At 41.6% G+C, this 19,870-nt stretch overlaps 1 gene segment (V, D, J or C) and 1 further gene, besides 2 other annotated features; both read right to left on the bottom strand.

Annotated features, from left to right (window-relative positions):
• Positions 1–19,870, bottom strand: part of IGK (immunoglobulin kappa locus) — a 1,378,008-nt gene that overhangs the window by 277,400 nt on the left and 1,080,738 nt on the right.
• Positions 9,698–10,427, bottom strand: IGKV2D-29 (immunoglobulin kappa variable 2D-29). The segment is given in 2 exon segments: positions 9,698–10,010; positions 10,379–10,427. Coding segments are annotated over 2 exon segments (362 nt in total), but the record flags the coding sequence as incomplete, so codon positions are not given.
• Positions 10,000–10,010: a sequence feature (IGKV2D-29 leader sequence).
• Positions 10,379–10,427: a sequence feature (IGKV2D-29 leader sequence).

The following is a 19,870-nucleotide window of genomic DNA, read 5'->3' as shown; positions in this document are numbered from 1 at the left end:
TTCAGAAAATGTAAAATCTTATAAAAATTATTTGGTGCAAAAAAAAGCTTTGAAACTACCCTATACTATCTATGTACTTAAATAATAATATTTCTAATTCCAAATAGAAATCTCTGTCTCCCAAACATTAACACATTATGCCAAGGCTTTGATAACAATGGACGAAGCAGGTGGCTCCACAGTGGACACAGGTAAGAAGGTGTAAGAACAGTCTCCATTTGATCCAGGTGGGAAGCAGGCCTCTGTGTGTCTCTAATCTGAACCATGGTCATCTGAATGAGGAAGGACTGATACAGGTGGATCTTACTGTAGTTGTGTCTCCTTTGCCTGATGCTGTGAGATCGGAGCCCATAAAATTGGAAGTAAGTATATTACTTGTATGACATGGGAAGATAATCATGGAAATGGAAGTGTTTGTGTCCTTGGAAGTCAGTGTTTGTGGGGTTGGATGGAGAGTGTGATCCTGTTGTTTGTAGATCATTTGAGGACTTTGGAGCCTGGGCAAAGAAAAAGAGATGTCCACAGGATGGCAGTAGCGCACACAACTTTTACTGGGTGAAGCTTTGACAGGTTTGCCGGTAGTTCCTGAGCAAGAGTCTGTCTATAGGCCAAGGGGCCAAGGTTGTTATTCAGAAGGGGAGGAGGAAGAAATTTGCTGTATAAGGGGCTTATGTGTCTAGGTGTTGTCACACAGCAGTGTTGGGGTGATCAGACCCAACACCAGGTCATGGGGATGACCAAGTCTGGTGGAGTCAAAGGATTGAGAAAAGACAGTTTGAGAAGTAAAGTGGGACCAGGGGGCCATCGTGATCATGGAGGCTGTGAAGGCCCCGAGCTCTGGGAGCCCAGTGCTATTTATTGGTTATCCAACAAAGAAAAAGGTGGTGAGAATGTGGAGGTCAAAAGGGCGCGTTGCATTAGGCACAAGATTTATAGCTGTGATGGTTTAGCATTCGCTCTGCTACTTGAGATAATGGAGAGCAGGTTCCTTTAACTCAAGATACAATCGAACCTGGGAGAGCAAGGAGCAAGGAGCCAGCAAGTGTAGACACATTCCAGAGCCATGAACCCTGGATTCTATCCAAGCCATGAGGGATTTTATGCCCTGGGCTTAGATTACGGTGTGTCAGGGTAGCCTTCCACCCTTTATAGCACAGAGCTTGGTGTTCCAAACGCCACAATGGGTTTTAGACCCTGGACCCCAGACATGTTCCAAGACTGTTTTACATTATGTCAGACATGCAAGCCCTGCTTAAGCTTCTCCCAACACTCAGCTTTTCCCAATACAGCAGCACAATGGGGAGTCTCTAGGTCAGAGAGAACCAGAGGGAAATATTAGTCTGGGGTTTTCATAACCTGGTGCTTACCTATTTCTAGCAGATGTGAGCAAGGTTCTCTGAGATACATAATGTAAGCATTCTTTACATGGCAAAAAATCTGCTTTGGGGGGCTGTTTTTGAAATGATTGGATTGTAAAGTTTGAGTTTGGCACAGGCCATAGAGAAATAAGCTGCAATTTGGAAACAAACAACATATGGGCAGTTCACACAAGACACCTTTGGCTCACTTATACATCATTGTTGCACATTTTGTAGACTTTGTTCTAAAGACTATATTAGTGCAGATAGACAAAATCCACACTGCTATGGATGAGACTGAAGACACGCTGCAGTCTTTTCCCCACCTGGACCTCAATGGAGGTTTTTAAATTTTTTGTTAAAGTTGAAAGTTTGTCCTTGGTGAGAACCGAGACCAAGCCACCCACAGAGGGAGCTTCACTTTGTGAAGCTGCAGGTCCTCTGCGCTGGATTTCTGGCTTCCAGGGCACGTGAGATTGAAGTTGTCTGCATTATCTCATCAGCTGAAAATTGTGACCAACTGGAGCACAGATTCATGGATAAATATCCAGGTACACAGAGAACACAGGGAATGAGGGCTCTGTGGATAGGTATCTTCTGCTTCTGAGAATCTCTCTAAACACTGGGAGACACAGGGATATTTACATATTTGACCTTTCTGAATCTTCAGACCCTGTTCTTGATCAGCCTAATCTGAGCCTGTTTCCAAATGTTTCAATTGATTGTCCTCTTTCTTAGAAAAAAACAGAAAAAAAATGATATAAAGTATACACTGAGATATGAGATTAGCTAGTGGAGTCCTGTGCTTCCAGGGATGCTTTTCCTCCGTGCATGTTCATCTTTCTGTGGGGCCCATCTCACCCCCATCAGACTGCACAAAGTGAGGCAGTGATTTTGTTGCATCCCTAAGCATTCTGTGTCCCTTACATTCTTTATTCCCTCTAAGATTCCTTCTCAGTTCTGACCCTTAAATAAAGGGATCTCTGTCCCTGAAATAAGGTCTCCAAAAAACCACAGCTTCCCTGGGTGTTTATAAGGTTTTTACATTGTTGAGCTGCTATTCTGACCACTATTAAGAATTAATTTCTATTCCAAGCAAATTACCTTTATTAAATCTCAAAACCACATGCCAGCTATAAAAGCTTGCTCTTTTTTGGAAGCATACTCAAGAATATAATTGCCCAGTAAATATTTCCTTTAATTTAACAAGTTAATCAGCAGATTTCTTCTTTTTCTTTTGTCTTAGATAATTTTGGTGCAGTCGAGCTCCCCAGTAAGTTGTTTAATATAAATTCCCATAATTGGGTTTAAATTTCTTCTAGGGCTGCTATATTCCATCCTACGCAAGAATCAAATAATCTTTGAGTTTTGGAGTTCACTAGTTTCCAAAGCAAGAATAGGAAACATGTGTAAGAGCTGCCTAAATAAGTAACTAACAAGTCATCCTAGCCTCCAGCTATTTGTAAACTTTGTGATTTCATCAGACGACTGTTCTAGGGAAAACAAAATTATTTATTTTATTCTATTCTATTTAATTGTCATTTACTACTAATATTTCATTTTTTGGTTGGCATAAGGGTAATTTTAGAAGAGCTAACATGTACATTTCTAAAAGTACTAAAAGGTGAGGCCAATTGTCCTTCAAGGAGCACTTAAACTTTGGATTATTCTCTCTCGGCCAAGAAAAGCCAAGATAGATGTTGACATGGTTTGGATATTTATCCCACTCAAATCTCATGTTGAAATATAATTCCCAATGTTGAAGATGGGGCCTGGTGGGAGGTTTGGGGGTCATGGGGGTGCATCCCTCATGGTTTAGTACTGTCATGATGATGAGTACTTTGTGAGATCTGGTTGTTTAAACACATGTGGTACCTCACGCCACTCCCCACCTGCCTTGTTCCCACTTAAGCCATGGGATATGCCTGCTCCTGCTTCACCTTCTGTCATAAGTAAAACTTCCCTCAGGCCTCCCCAGAAGCCAAGCAGATGCCCACACCATGTGTGCACAGCCTGCAGAACTGTAAGCCAATTGAACACCTTTCCTTTATAAATTACCCAGTCTCACGTTTCCCTGATTCCAAAAGTGAAGTTTATACTATGCTACTGCTACCACATTAGAGGCAATTCACCATTTCCACCTGCTAGTGCAGAGCTTGTGTTATTATTTAAGACTAAGAATGGCCACTGAATAATTCATTCAGCCCGTGGCTCTTTCATGTTCTGAATTTTGGATTTTTGGTAACTTGGTATGGAATTAAATGGTTGAAAGAATACTTTTGTTAATTTTGGAAATCAACAGAAGTTATTTAGTTTGGTCTTTTATTCTTCCTTGGGATCTTAAAATAGCCTTATTCAAAATCTGTAAAAGCCCTGGCCCCCATTCATACAGAAGAAGAGCCCGTGCCCCTTACTGAGGCCTCATGGCCTCCTTAACTCAAAGGCTCTCCAGCCACCTCCACCTGAGTTTGGTGTGGATGCATCCTCTGGGCACCACAGCTGCTCCTGCCACACTGAGAGGCTGAGCCTTTTTGGAAGGTTTGTGTTTGGGGCCTTCACACTGTGCAGGGCCCCGGTGAGTGTCCTGCTCACAGGAGTCTGTGCACTGTCTCTAGGCTCCACACTGACAATTATGCAAGTGAAATCAATCCAATTTTGGTTAAATGTGTGCATGTGTATTCAACTTGTTTTGCTACAAAGCGGCCTGAGTTTTCTGGCTGTTCTGCTACCTGTATTTGTTAGGCATCTGCACACCAGCAGAAAGAATCAAGATGAGCTTTCATTGAGCCTTTCCTCTGGCAAGATGTGGCTCAGAGCCCACTGCATCCTCCTTTCTGCTGTTGTTCTGCCCTGCCGAGGCTCTTGCAGCTGAAGGGGCCTTTAAATATGTCACATATTCTTCCATTGTTAAATGTGAGATAATTTGTTTTGCTCTGCAGGAAAGCTTCATTCACTTGAAGAAGGAGATTAAAGATTTCTAAAGCAGGATGCTAATCTTTTGATCTTTGTGCAATTTTGTTATTAAAGCTGTCTCTTTCTGAGAGTAAAAGAGGTATAATTTGATTTAAAAGTTTCCAGCTTTAACATCTGTCAATGTAAGCCTTCCAAAGAAAATTCTGGCACTGCTCAAGTCAACTAAATATTTTCTTATGAACCATCAGTTTTGCTCCATGTAATTTTCCAAATAATCCCCACAATCCAAAACACACACACCTCTTAGAAGACAACTAAGGAGATATCCACAAGGCTTTTGTATCATTATTTCTAAAGATGAGGAGTTAGAGACAACCTGGGTATCTATTACCAGGAACATAGGTTAAATGTAGTTGACATCTTGACTGGATCATCAGGCAGCAACGAGAAGTAATAGACAAGTTTCACCCTTAACAACACTGAAATATTTTAACTCATACATCTCAGTAGAAAAACAGTGAGCATAATGACATATTTCACAGGATGATATTTACATAAAATAAACATAATTGTGAACATACGATATGTATAACACATTGAATGGAAAATATACTAAAAATACAAAACAATAAGCAGAGAGAAATGTTCACTTCTCTAGCCCCACACCAGCCTCTCCTTCTCCCCTGGCTTCTCCTAGCCTAGAGCTGTCCATCAGCACAGGGAAGGAATATTATGTGCAGGCCCCAAGCACTCTGAGCTCAGGAACCAGCTTTTTGAGGAAGGCCTGGATATGCCAGGCATTCAGCTCCTGGCAACCTGGAAGCTATGGAAAATCATAGCACCTCTTTCCAGGGAAAAGAAGCACCAAACTTCAGCCAGTTTGTTACCAGGCAACTGAGAAAGAGCCCTGGGGTATTTTCTGACAACCTGTGAATTATTTGGCCTCCACCCCCTTAAGAGAACCTAAGGAATAACAGTCCATTTCTAACCTTCTTCTCTGCCTCCTTCTATTAGAACCTAATTCAATCATGCACCAAGACAAGTCAAAGCCTTGGTGGGCATATCAATCCTGATGTGTGACATTTTATTCACTTTTTTATTCTGAAAGTAAGTATCTTCTTAAATTTTGCATCTATATTATAAATCAATGTAATATATGTATTTATACAGAAATAAATATAACTTTGTTGTTATAATGCATGACTTTAAATTGTGATAAATTGAGCAGGAACATTTAAAACCAGCAATGGGTGCACCACTCCATGGCTCCTTCCCCACTGCAGAGCCCGAGAGTGAGGAAACTCAGGCTCTACCTCCATGTCCCTGCAGGGCTGAGCACTGACCTGCTCATTGCTGAGAACTTTGAGTGACCAGAGTGGGTCTGAGGAACACAGAGCAGCAGGTGCCAGGGAGACAGGCGGTGGAGCTAGGCCACAGTGGAGGAACATTTGGTGCCCAGAGCTTCCTGTGGGCAGGTCCTTCCCATAGGGGATCCTGTCAGACAGAGCAGCACCTGAGGTCAGTGGCTGTGTGGTCACAGGATGAAAGCCCTCCACAGCCTATTGGCAGCCTCCCCTCTGACTGGAGCCATGTGGGACCTATCGGCCCAGCTTTCACGACTCACACAGCTGCTGGAACCCTGTTCACAATGGGGTTCCTTGATCAGCTTCACTGCTGATGGCCAGAGTGATATCTGTCCAGGCAGTTGAACCCTGACCCGGGCAGGTGTTGCATCCACAGAGAACCAGGAGCCAACAGGAGCTCAGAGCTGGGCCTGTTTTCTGCTGGAGCCAAGCTAAAATAGAACGCTCTTAACACTCTGGCCGGCCCTACAGATGACAGTGGCCTTCTCTCTGGGGACATAGGAAAAGGGGTAAGAGATGGAGTGCACACAACATACCCACTGGCATCTATGTTGGGAACAAACATGAACATCCCCAAGTATTAATACCAAACAAGTAGTTCATTCAGTTTGATGAAGTTCTGATCAGAAAGCAAAACAGGCTAACCACTTCATCTTCAAGGAGACATTCTAGTAGAAAATGCAGACAAATAGGATGAAGCCTGCATCTTCCTTCCTCACTAGAGAATCAGAACAGCAGGAGGAACAGGAACAAAGCTGGGTGCCCATGTCCATGGGGAGCCTCCGGAGGCCGATTCTGCTTGGAGCTGGCAAGGATGGTGTAGTAGTCCACTGGGACTCCCACACCAAAATGGATATGGCTGGACAACTTAAACTGCAGAAATTAATTTTTATATTTCTGGTGGCTGGAAATTGCAAGATCAAAGTCCAACAAGGTTCACTTTCTGGTAAGGACCTTCTTCCTGGTTTGGAGATAGCCACCGTGGGTAGAAAGTTGAGTTAGGGGCAAGAGGGAGGAGAGAGAGAGAGAGAAAAGGAGAGCTCTCTGGTTTCTATTCTTATAAGAACATTAATTCTATTGGATCATGGTCCCATCCTTTTGACCTCATTTAGCCTCAATTACCTCAATCATCTCCTACAGCTGCATAAGGGGAATAGGGCCAGGCTTGCATTCTCAGATCACAGAGCAAAGAGGGGTTTCCCCACAAGACAGCACGCTGGAAGCTCCTCCTGGGTGCTCCAGGTCACACATGAGACCCCATTTCAGCCTTAGGGGCTCCATGTTGATAAGCAGACATCATCACCCTTACAATGCAAGTAATATTTTTAGATCATGGCAATCTCTTTGGTTTATTGTGGGGTTTGTTTGCCATCTAGAGGCAGGTCTTTGACATAGCAACGTTCAGGATTTTTGACTTTGTGCTAGTGAAAATTAATATTTTTTCTTTTTTTTATTATTATACTTTAAGTTTTAGGGTACATGTGCACATTGAAAATTAATTATTAAACATAAATAATGAATTAAACTTAATACATTGATTGTTTAAGAAAAACCCAAAGGCCATCGAAGGGCTTAAAATGGGTATAAAGGGATAAAAAGACAGAGTCCTTCCAAAGGAGGACTGTCTGTCACAGATGAGTCTTTTTTTATCAAATGACTTTTTAGCAGTAATTCTCAATGGTAAATGACAACTTCAGGTAGACTGCCACAATATAATCACATATTCAAAAAAATTATTACCAGGAATCGTGTAAATACATTTTCAGATTAAAAACAACAAAAAGTGTGAGTTTTTCACAAGATTCACTTGGTGAAAAATTTCACAAACCTGTGCTTTACACAAAAGAACATCTATCCCTGGTGGAAAACTGGAGTTTTCTTTGGCCTTTAGAAGAAAACAGCTTTCCCTTCACTCTGCTCCACCTCATGCTGCTGAGGATGGCCGTGGGGGCAGAGACTGTGAGGAAGGAGGAAGGCTGTGCGCTGAGGGTGGTCGTGGTTCCTGCCCACCTGAGTGACCTCATGGAGCAGAGCCACCGACACCACCAAGGCCACCTGCCTGCCTCTACACTGCCATGGCACAGACAGAGAAACCTTGTCACATTCAGTCCACCATATTTTGAAGCTTCTTTGTAATACATTTGATTATGCTCTGATTCTCTTTGTATCCCTTTCCGTATTTGGAATCACTTATTTTTCACCATTTTGACTTGAGAGTATCGCCCCTTGAGGTATCAGCACCATGTAGGCTGTATGTTTGTTTGGTTTTTAAAGGTGTCCAACCACCTTGAGTGGTTTGGGCCTTTTCCCCTGTCTCACATCAAAGCAGAATCTTAGGTCACTAGGTGCTGTCAATCACTTGATGGCCAAAGATGGTGATGACAGTGGTTAGTTCCTGCCCTTGCTACTTATGCTTGTCTTCTCTCCCTGCATTCTGTAATAACTTTTAAGCTCCATGATGAATTAATTAGCATTTTAAACAGTGTATTAAGTGTCTTATGTTTCTTATTTTCACAGTTTCAGTCTGCTTGATTTCTATATAAATATTGCAATGTCTACTAAACCCAACAGAAATGGCGCTTCGGAATTTTAATTGCACTTGCCATGAAATCCATTATCTTAGAGTAGAAAATCATCTCAAATATACTTTAAACCTTAAATCTGAAGCAGGAGCTTCTTGTTCTGTTGCTTCAATCATTTTGTGTCTATCACACAATATTGTAATATGTAACTGACATAGCTCATCATTGAGCTTGATAGAATATTATAACACTAGAACACTATTTTACATGGAATCTATTGAAATAATAAATTTTCTATGTTTTTACAACTAAAACATATGATCCAGATTCATTTTCTGGTAATGATGATATCATAAGTAAATAATACATTTTTGTAACATTTGAAACCTTTTATTATGATGACATAGTACTAAATTTATCATCCCTAAAATAGTACTTAGAATAAATACTTTTACAATTAGAATTTGGTTGAGGAAAAAAAAACCTCTCATATAATTCTGCATTTTTCCTGTGGCATATTTAGTAAACTCTGTGTTTTTCATCTTTCAGTTTATGCTGCTTTTTTTTTTTTTGACAGAGTTTCGCCTTGTAGCCCAGGCTGGAGTGCAGTGGCACTATCTCCAGCTCACTGCAACCTCCACCTCCCAGGTTCAAGTGATTTTCCTGCATCGGCCTCCCAACTAGCCAGGATTACAGGTGTGTGCCACCACACCCTGGCTAATTTTGTATTTTCAGTAGAGACCGGGTTTCACCATGTTGGTCAGGCTGGTCTCGAACTCCTGACCTCAGGTGATCCATCCACCTCGGCCTCCCAAAGTGCTGGGATGACAGGCGTGAGCCACTGTACCCGGCCAGTGCTGCTTATTTCTGAAGCTCACTTTTGGAGTTGCAAGAACTCCCTCTTCACTGGGAAAAACGTAATTGAGGCAAATCAAAATCTTTTGGCATTAAGATCTTATATCTGCCATGGATTTACAAAGTCTAAGAATAGTCAGAAATCAAACATTTTTTTCTAATTATTCTTTTCCATACTCCCCTTGAGGACAGCTTGTATAGAACACGTTCTCCCACATGACACTGGAAAGTGCAGTTTAGTGTGAGTAGTAAAGTGAAATAGAAAGTAAGGAAAGTGGGAAAATACCAAATTCGCAATAATTCCAAATATTATCACCAAGTATTAATTTGTGTAAAATAAACCCCAAGCTGGTCATTTGCCACATGTATTCCACCTGTGTTGTCACTAAACTGCATCTATGTTCTGGCTGTTATGCTGATTGAGTGTACTCGGCAAACGTGGGCAAGACAGGCAGGGTGAGGATGAGCCTGGCAACTGATAAAGCTTTGACCATGTGGGACTGAGGTGCTGCTGAGACTCTCATGGGCCAGAGTCCTCAACAGCAAGCCCTGCCACTGAGTTCTCCAACAGCCTCCTCTTCTGCAGACTCAGAGTCCCTGCTGAGCTACTCCCCAGACAAGCAGTGCAAGTGAGCAGCTGGGACACCCCAGCAGGGAGGTTTCTGTATTGGTCTGTACCACTGTGGGAGGAAGCTGTATACTTTGCATGCAGTAATAAACCCCAACATCCTCAGCCTCCACCCGGCTGATTTTCAGTGTGAAATCTGTCCCTGACCCGCTGCCACTGAACCTATCTGGCACTCCAGAGAACCGGTTGGAAACTTCATAGATCAGGAGCTGTGGAGGCTGGCCTGGCTTCTGCAGGTACCAATACAAATAGGTCTTTCCATCACTATGCAGGAGGCTCTGACTAGACTTGCAGGAGATGGAGGCCGGCTGTCCAGGGGTGACGGACAGAGAGAGTGGAGTCTGGGTCATCACAATATCTGCACTGGATCCTGAAATTATGAGAGAGAAGTGCAAGGTTATGTGAAAGCATAATGAACAACTTTTGAGATTTGCCTTATGGTATTGATTTATGGCTAATCTTTTATTTTTACAAATTTGTATTCATATCATAAAAACAAACTCTTTAAATGAACCCTTTATTAAATAGGCACAAGAGTTCTTTCATTTCTCAAGATATTATTCAGAGCACTGCTTTTAGGAGTTTTCAAATCATCATCAGGGCAAAATATGAATTCCTCTCCCTGGAGCATAGGCCATATTCCTTTAACACATGGTTAGAATAAACACGGGAATCAGTGGGGCCGCCAGAGCTCAGCTTCCCACCCCCTCCTCCTCCCTCATCTCCTTCCATCCTTACCAGGTATCCAGAGCATTAGCAGCCCCAGGAGCTGAGCAGGGAGCCTCATGGTGAGAAGATGAACTGAGAAGTCCTGATCAGTCAAGGCAAGGTTAGAGCTGAGCTTTTATCTCAGGCTCACAAGGGAAGGTCCTCCCTAGGGGACAATATGCAAATCACCTGGTGGGTGCAGTGGTGTGGAAAGAGCCATTGGGTGGGGGGTGAAGGGGGTAGATATGTCTTCTCTGTGAGCAATGTGATATAAAGTGTCCCTTGGAGGAAACTAATAAAACCTAATTCATCATAGAGGAGGAAGAAGGACCTGAATTTGAAAGTTTCAATCTTGGGCAAGTAACGTTTTATAGGATGTCAGGGCTTCCAAATTCTTGTCAACTCTGAGGGTGAACCCGTGTCTCCCCCTGGCCTGTATGTGGCACAGCCACAGCCATGACACCACAGTTCAAAATGAGATTCTCTATGTAGGAAGAGCAAGAACTGGATCCCTGGTTTTAAGTCTCAGGGTCAGCAGTACTATGGACGACATTTTCCTAGGTTTTTATTGAAAGATGATCACAGGTCAGGCATATGAATCTACCACACAACTCATCGTTACAATAGGAAAACAACTTGAGTATTCTTCATTTGTCAGTGATGTGCTTAATATTGAATTTAGCTGCTCCTGAATAACGGTGCGTACATCAAATCACTTCACAGAGACTGCCACTGTCCTGAAAAAAACAACAAAAATCCTGGGAGCAATTAAAAGAATAGTTTCTAGTGCTATGTAATCTTCAGTGATTTAATACAACATCTGATTTACTTGGTAAAGAACACACACCCAGAAAAGCAAAACAGAGCTCTAGGTGTTTTGCACACAAAGCTTGTCCTGATTATCTTCCGGGAAATGCACTGGCATATGATGTTTTAACAAAGTTGGTGAAAAAAATTGAGTAAAAATGATATTGACCTTAAAACGTTGAACGTCATGGCAGTAACCTAAATTGAGAATATCAAATTGTAGTGTGGAAGTAGGATTAGAATAAATGTATCATATTTCACTATTTAAATTTTTATTTATTCTATTCTTTCATCACTTTTTGTAAATCTTATGTGTTTCACTTTTTTTTTTTCTTGAGACAGTCTCTGTCTGTTACTCAGGCTGGAGTGTAGTGGTGCAATCTCTGCTCACAGCAACCTCTGCCTCCTGGGTTCAAGCAGTTCTCATGTCTTTGGAGTAGATGGGACTACAGGCATTCTCCACCATGCCCAACTAATTTCTGTATTTTTAGTAGAGACGAGGTTTCCACATGTCGGCCAGGCTTGTCTCGAACTCCTGGCCTCAAGCGATCCACCTGCCTTGGCCTCTGAAAGTGCTGGGATTACAGGAGTGAGCCACGGTGCCTGGCATTGACTTCTTTTTTCTTGTGATGCTGAGCAGGTCAAATATGGTTCTTAGCCTTGGAAATGTCAAACTCCTAATTCATCATAATAGTTAAAAGAGTCAGAAACATCAGATGCTGAAAAGAAAAATAAAAGTAAAGACACAATCTAAAAGAGAACATTAAGGTACATCTTATCACTGGTATAAACGGATTAGTCTGAAAAGGTGTTAACTGAATAATCAGTTCCACCCACTATCCTATATAGAAACTTGCATTGTGGGAAAACGAATAACAGTAATAAATCTGTCAAGCTTGCTTTTACTATTAGTCAATTCTTCAAAATCTTAGTTTTACAAAGTATTCTTTAAGGTGCTGAATTTCAGAGAGTACTGCTGTTTCCTTTGAAAATTAATGACAGAGCTTTAAAAAGTTTACGATTGGGATTGGTTGTTTTATCTCATAATCTCTTGTCATTACATATCTGAAAATGTAAAACCTTGTAAAAAATTGTTTCAATCATAAAAAGGCTCTGAAATTACCCTATACTAAAGGCCTTGAAATTACCCTACATTATTAAACTTAGAGAATAATATTCTTAATTCTAAAGAGGAACCCCTCTCTCCTGAAGGTTTAAATAGAGTACACAGAGGCTTCACAACAGCAGACAAAGCTGGTCGCTCCATGCTGGACACAGTTAAAAAGGTAGAAGAACAGCCTCTATTTGATTCAATTGTGGAGCGGCCTCTGTATTTCTCGAATCTGGACCATGATCAGTCGAATGAGGAAGGACTCATCCGGGTGGGGTTTATTGCATCTCACTTGCCAGATGCTGTTAGTTTGCAGTCCATAAAATTGAAGGCAAGTGTATTATTTGTATGACTTGAGAAGACAGCCTCGGAGGTGGAATTGTGTCCATTATGCTGGAGTCAGTGTTTGTGGGGTGGATAGTGTGGTCCTGTTTATAGAGAGTTTGAAAAATTGAGGTTCTGATCAAACAGAAAGAGATGTCCATAGGGTGGCAGTAGCACACATGACTGTTGTTGGGTGAAGCTTTGACAGATTTGCCCAAAGGAGTCCCTCACAGCAGGAGACTGTCTAGAATGAAAGATGTTGGGGCTGCTACTCAGAAAAGGTGGAGAACAAGGGAAATCCTAAGGTAAAGGAACACTGGAGAAAGGCATTCTCTGTCTAGGGGTAGCCAGACAACAGCTTAATCTGGGTCTGAGATATCCAGAGGGCAGGAGTGATTTGCAATTTTCATCTCCTGGGGCTTATCTTACCTACTGCTAACAGATGTGGGTGAGGTTTCCTGTGATATGAAAAGCAAGCATTCTCTGAATGGCTAAAAATCTTCTTTCGGGCTGGGCGCAGTGGCTCACGCCTGTAATCCCAGCACTTTGGGAGGCCAAGGTGGGCAGATCATGAGGTCAGGAGATGGAGACCATCCTGGCTAACATGGTGAAACCCCATATCTACTAAATATACAAAAAAATTAGCCAGGTGTGGTGGCAGGCGCCTGTAGTCCCAGATACTCAGGAGGCTGAGGCAGGGTAATCGCTTGAACCCGGGAGGCAGAGGTGGCAGTGAGCAGAGATCGTGCAACTGCACTCTAGCCTGGGCAACAGAGCAAGACTCGGTCTCAAAAAAAAAAAAATAATCTTTGGGCTGTTTTTGAAATGATTGGATTGGAAAACTTGAGTGTGGCACAGGCCATTTAGAAATAGCCTGCAGTTTAGAAACACACCACATAGGGGCAGTTTGCACTGGCCATCTTTAGCTCATTTCTACAACACTGTCACACATTCTGTAAACTTTTTTCTGCCGACTGTACTTGTCCAAACAGGGAAACTCACACTGTTCTGGAGGAGATTGAGACATACAGAGGCCTGTTCTCCACCTGGACCTCAATGGAGGTTTTTCCTGACTAAAAGTGAGAGTTTGCCCCTGTGTAAGAGGCGGGCGGATCACGAGGTCAGGAGATGGAGACCATCCTGGCTAACACGGTGAAACCCTGTCTCTACTACAAATACAAAAGATTAGCCAGGCGTGGTGGCGGGCGCCTGTAGTCCCAGCTACTCTGGAGGCTGAGGCAAGAGAATGGCTTGAACCTGGGAGGCGGAGATTACAGTGAGCGGAGATGGCGCCACCATACTCCAGACTGGGCGACAGAGCGAGACTCCGTCTCAAAAAAAAAAAAAAAAAAAAAAAAAAAGACCAAGTCACCTACAAAGGGAGCTTCAGTCTCTGACGCTGCAGGTCCTGTGACTAGATTCCTGGCTCCAGACACCTGAGATTGAAGCTGTCTGCATTATCTCACTAACTGAAAATTGTCACCACTGGGGCATAGATTCATGGATAAATATTCTGGTACACAGAGAGCTCAGGGAATGAAGGCTTCTTGTACGTCTATATCTTGTGCTTCTGAGAATTTCTCTCTCTAAAAACTGGAGAAAACAGAGTTGTTTACATGTTTGACCTGGAAGGCAACATGTAACATGTTTCTGAGTCTTCAGACCCTCTTCTAACCTGCCAAATCTGAAACTGTTTCTAAACGTTTGGATTATTTGTCTTTCCTTTTGCTTAAAAAAAAATGGAAAAAAGTCCTATAAAACAACAGACTGAGCTGTGAGATTCAGTGCTGGAGTTTTCCTTCATGCATGTTAATCTTTCTGCAGAGCCCACCTCACCAAACATCAATACAAAAAGCGAAACAATAATTCCATTGCCTCCCTGGGCCTTCTGCATCTTATAAGTTCCCTCGAAATTCTCACCCTTATAGAAAGTAGGTCTCTATAAAACCACTCCTCAAAAGTAGGTTTCTAGAAAATCACAACTTGCCTGGAAGGTTATTAATTTTTTCCACCATGTGAACATGAAAGTTGTCTTTTTGACTTTATATTAAAGCTTGGTTTAATTGAGAGGTGGAGGGTGGAGACCCCAAGAAGATTCTGGGGACGGAATCGGGAATTTGAGCCTTTTAAACTGCAGTGGAAACTGCCTGTGATGTAAAAATTTGTATGAATATACCAAGAAGACAAATAAATTTGTTTCTTACTTTTTAATTTAGAGAGCATGGTTCACCTACAGAAAAATTAAAATTATAATTTGAGAATTTTGACATTTATTACTCCTCATTTTATATTAATTTTAAGATCAACAAAATACTCATATAAATTTTGAATGCAGAAATGTTAAGACCTTCAGGAAAAAATCAGAGACAAAATCAAATCACTTAATTTATAAAATCAACAGAAATTCTCTTTTAGCCTCTTCCTGTCAACTCCTGTTCATAAAAATCTAAAGTTCAGAATAAGAAAGAGGCAGGGGCTGAACAAATTACCTGGTGTTCATTCCTTGTTATAACAACAATAATGGTAATAATAACAATAACTGCACAGCCTCTACATGGACACCTGGAAATGGTGACTCTGCCTTATGGAAGCAGCAGCTTCATGTCATAGTGGTAAATTTCACTTTTACTGGTCCTTTCTTGGCCAGGAGTCAACGATCACCCAAAGTTCACATGTGCTATGAAGCATTAACTGTGCTCAAATTTCAGTACTTCTCCAAATTTGTTTTTCTAAAATATATCCTAGCAAGAAAAGAATGCAAGATCAGTAATAAAATAAAATTAAATAAAATAAATTTTAACCTCCTAGAAGCAGTCAGGGCATGAAATTATAAAGTGTAACAAAGGACTATAGATATGACCGTGTCTTAGAGACTTACTTTACCAGCTCTTACTCCTATTTAATGTTCTTACCCTAGAAAATGAAGAATATCGTCAACCCAGAAAATGACTTTTTGTATTGTGAAATCCTAGCAGTCCTAGGTAGAATTTAAAGCCTAATATGAGAATCTCTGTTATCCGCTTATCCCAGAAAATCTGATTGCACAAAAAGTGTCTATATTTAGCACATTAAAACAGAAAACCTATTGATCCTGTGGAATACTGTAGCAAATATGTGCAAGTTTATGATACTCATGAATAGACTTTTAAACTTGAGCAACATCTTTTGTTTCCAGGTTGATGCTAAGGTATTAAATTTCAGTAAAAGTAATTTGTCTTGAGCTCAAACTAGCTTATAATATTTGTCATTACATACAGTTCAGCCTATTCAGAACTGGTAAGAAAATATGACATCATGAGAAAACTGTTATTAAATTTGCCCCAATATTAATATTTGCAGAGAGACTGAGAGGCATGATTTGCACAACCGTATTCAAGATATTAAAATGTTTAATGGAATAGGCAAATCCATAAAAGAAATAAAAACTTTAGACCAGGGTTAATATACCTATCGAGAATTTGACTTGTGTAGCCTACTGAGTTATTGACAGGACTGGGTAAGAGTTGGTGCACTAGAAGTCAGGACATCACAGTGTCAACTTTTACCCCTTCCTCATTAGAAAGCCAGGCCAGAAACTGCCCTGACACAAGGAAAATTATCAGAAAATTCCTGGAGAACTCTTTGTGACTGCCTGGTCATACTCTGGCTATGGTTGGGAGGCTGACCTCTCCCAGCTGGTATTGCACTGCAGCTCATATTTCTGGGTACTCAGCTCTATAGCTGCCATCAAATGGCATTAAATGGTTTACCCAAATCAATAAGGTTATGATAGTATGTGCTTCATAAACTTGGAGAGAATCAGAGTTCCTGATGATAGGTATATGTATTCCGTTCCATTCTGTTTCATGAGAGTCTTTATTTAAAAAAATGAAGGAAGCTCACAGCGGCCTTTTTGGAATCTAGAGGCAACAGATTCTACACCGTGGAATACTGGTCATGTCACCATCCAGGTGACATGGAAGTCTTCCCAGCCTTTAGTGGAGACCCAGGGCAGAAAAGGGCTCTGCAGCAGCTCCAGCCTGCACTGTAGGCAACAGTGTCTCTTGGGCCCATGCAGATACAGATGACTTGCCAAAGCCGTCAACCATGTGGGTAGGATTGACACTGAGAGAACACTCTGCCACAACAGCAGACTCCATAGCCATTTTAAAACATTAGCTAAGAGAGATCATGCTTTGAGCCACAAGCTATTTCAAAGAAATTAAATGGATTTAAATCATATAAAATAAAGTTTCAGAAGCCAAGGGAAATTTATTAGGAATCAATGACAGAAAGCTATCAGAAAAAAATCTCAATATTTTAAAACTATGTAACATACTACTAAACAAAGCCTGGGACAAAGATGAAACCAAGAGATGGACATTTCAAAGCAATCTGAAGTGAAAGAAAACACACATCAAAATTTGTGGGATGCAAGAAGACATTTAATTTATAACACCGAATTTCTAGAAATATTCATGCATTTTAGCAAATAAATTTTCAAACCGATCCCCTGAGCTGCCACCCTGACATACGAGTATGAGAAGAGCAATTTGTGCTCAAAATATTTTATTCTTAAAAATGTGGGCATGTGATGAGCACATGTCTATTATTGCAGCAAGGAAATCACGTCAGCCTGGAAATAAAAACCCACATTAGCAGCTTCACAGGAGAAAGTGGATGGGCAGGGTAAGTAAGTGTGCAGAGAAAATTGGAAGAAGATAGGAAAAGTGAAAATAGGAATTGTGTGTAATATTAATACAGGCTATGCATGTGTGAGACTCCTGTGAGCTTTGACTTGCTCAAAAGCAAAAATCATGCAGTGCAGACAACTTTCAATCCTCAGAGTGTTGGTGAGAGTGAGGTCATTTGGCAAAGGGAGGAAAAAGTGCCCCGAAGTTCATCAGAGGCAGCAGGTGAGGTCACGACCCACAAGGATCCCCTCCCAGTGACGTGAACGAGCATCCCTGAAGCCATGAGGGCAGCAGGGAACTTCATGGTTGCTCCAGAGAGGACATGGCAGCCACTCCCTGGAGAGTCTGTGGGGCCTGAACACCCTAAGTTGGGAGGAAGGAAGAGGCTCTGGGAGGCTTCCTGGGGGCCCTGGCCCTGTTCGCACAGAAGTAGAGCCCATGCCTGTAAGTGAGGACTCATGACCTCCTCTTCAAAGGCTCTCCAGCCATCTTCACCTGAGCCCATCTGCTGTGGACTCCATCTCTGGGCGCTGCAGTTGCTGGTGCTGCACTGAGAGGCTGAGCCTCCTAGGGAGGCTGCGTTTGAGGCCCTCGGGCTGTGCAGGGTCCTGGTGAGTTTTCTGCTCACAGGAGAACGTGCAGCATCTCCAGGCTCCAAACTGGTGCCTGTGATGAAGAAATGAATAAAATTTTGATTGTATGTGTGTCCTTACTTTTTGGTATGTGTAAAAATATACTCTGGAGACTTGTTATTAATTTTGTCTTATACACCACTTGCTATAAACCAAATTTTTACTGTATATGTTGTCTGTCTGGTTAAAACTACAGATTTAATTATGCTTGTCATGGAATACATTATCTTTAATAGAAAATTATCTCGAATGTAACATATTTCTTTAATCTAAATCTGGATTACTTTATCCTGTTGATTGCAACATTGTTTTACTTTAGTCATACCACGCTATAGCACGTAAATCACAGGCTCATTACTAATTCACAAATATTCATAGAGAACTATTTTAAATTGACTCTATGGAAAGCATACATTTTTTATATCACTATTGTTAGAATGTGGGAATCAGGTTTATGTCCAAGTACTGACGAGGTACAGTGAAAATAATACATTAATTTATTGTTTAAAAATGTTTTACTTTTTTTGACCAAATAGTACCAACATAGTCACTTCTAAAACTTTATTTGTGTTTAAAAAAAAAATGAAAGGAATCTTCATTCCCAGGTACAGCAATGTAGATAGAAGTGGAAAGGCCAAAACAACCACTGCAAAAGGTACAAACCATTTAAAATAATAGAATACCAAAGTTAGAATTAAATGACTTTGGAAAGTAGTGGAAGGAATAAGGAATGAATGATGTAAAATGCCATAGTAAAAAGAACCTTTCATTGTTGAGCTGATGCTCACCTGACTTTTTGTCCTTCTGCCATAGCCGCCAAGTTTGCCTGTGGAAACAAGCTCTGACTTGGTGCAGGCAGAGGAGCTCTCCTGGGAAAGGAGAATCCAGCTGAGCCTTGGGGGTTGCACAGGGCAGCCTCTATACGTGGCCCGTGCTTTCCATGGGACACATGTTGAGGTCTGAGTCAGCAGGCAGGGATGGAGGTGCTGGGCTACAAGGACATAAAACTTCCACAGATTCAGCGTGCTCCCCCAATCCCCAAGGCTACACAGAGCATCCCGAATACATGTCTGAATCATGGACACTGGTCTCCATCCCCACTGCGCCCCCTGCTGGTGTAGACCCTGCTGGGCCTTCTGCTCAGCATGTCAGTGCTTGTGACATCTCCAGACCCAACCAGCAGTCTCTAGGGACAGAATGAGTTTCAGATGCTCTGCTTGGCTGTGTGGGGTTGACAAGATATGAGTGACATGACCTCAGGTCTCCTTGCACAGGGATTTCACTAAGCCTTTGGTGATTACAGATCTAAAACCCTTCCCAAAGCATTATTTTCCCAGAAAATTCGCAGTGATGCAGGCTCCACCCAGGAAACCAGGTAGTGGTGCCTTCAACTCTGTGATTCTTCACAAGAAACACATCAGGCCTCCTGGGTCCACATCATGAACTGCCAACTCCACCACCATCCACATCCCTACCTACCAAAGGCCAAGGGTAGTTTAATTGAAGCTGACCTCTCCTGGGTTTCCTTCATGCTTTCATCCCTAATGTCTGCCCAATCTTAAATTCTTAACATTTGGAAATAAAAACATTCACATCATTCTGTACTTTTCCAGTTTTCTATGGGGAAAATTATATACTCTACATTTTCCAGTATATGCTTTTTATTTTTGAAAACAACTTCTGGAATTTCAGGTACTCCTTTTTTCTATCATTAAGAGGTAACTAAGGCTAACTAAACAGTTTTAGCATTAGGATCTTGTATCTTCTATGAATTTACAAAAATCTATTTGATACTCCAAAATCAAGATTTTTACTGACTGTCCTCAGCCAGCTTCCGCTTAGGATAACTGGTATAGAATGCTGTCTCTACTCTATTTTGGGAGTGGGAGAAAAGGAGAAGCAGGAAGTTAGAAAACTGGCAAAATACCAACATCAAATATTATCAAATGTCCTCTGAACAATATGCCAAAAACTG

Source organism: Homo sapiens, chromosome 2, assembly GCF_000001405.40.
Source record: "Homo sapiens chromosome 2, GRCh38.p14 Primary Assembly".
NCBI lineage: Eukaryota > Metazoa > Chordata > Mammalia > Primates > Hominidae > Homo > Homo sapiens.
Note: the sequence above shows the minus strand (reverse complement) of the source record. Positions and strands in the feature narration are given on the sequence as shown.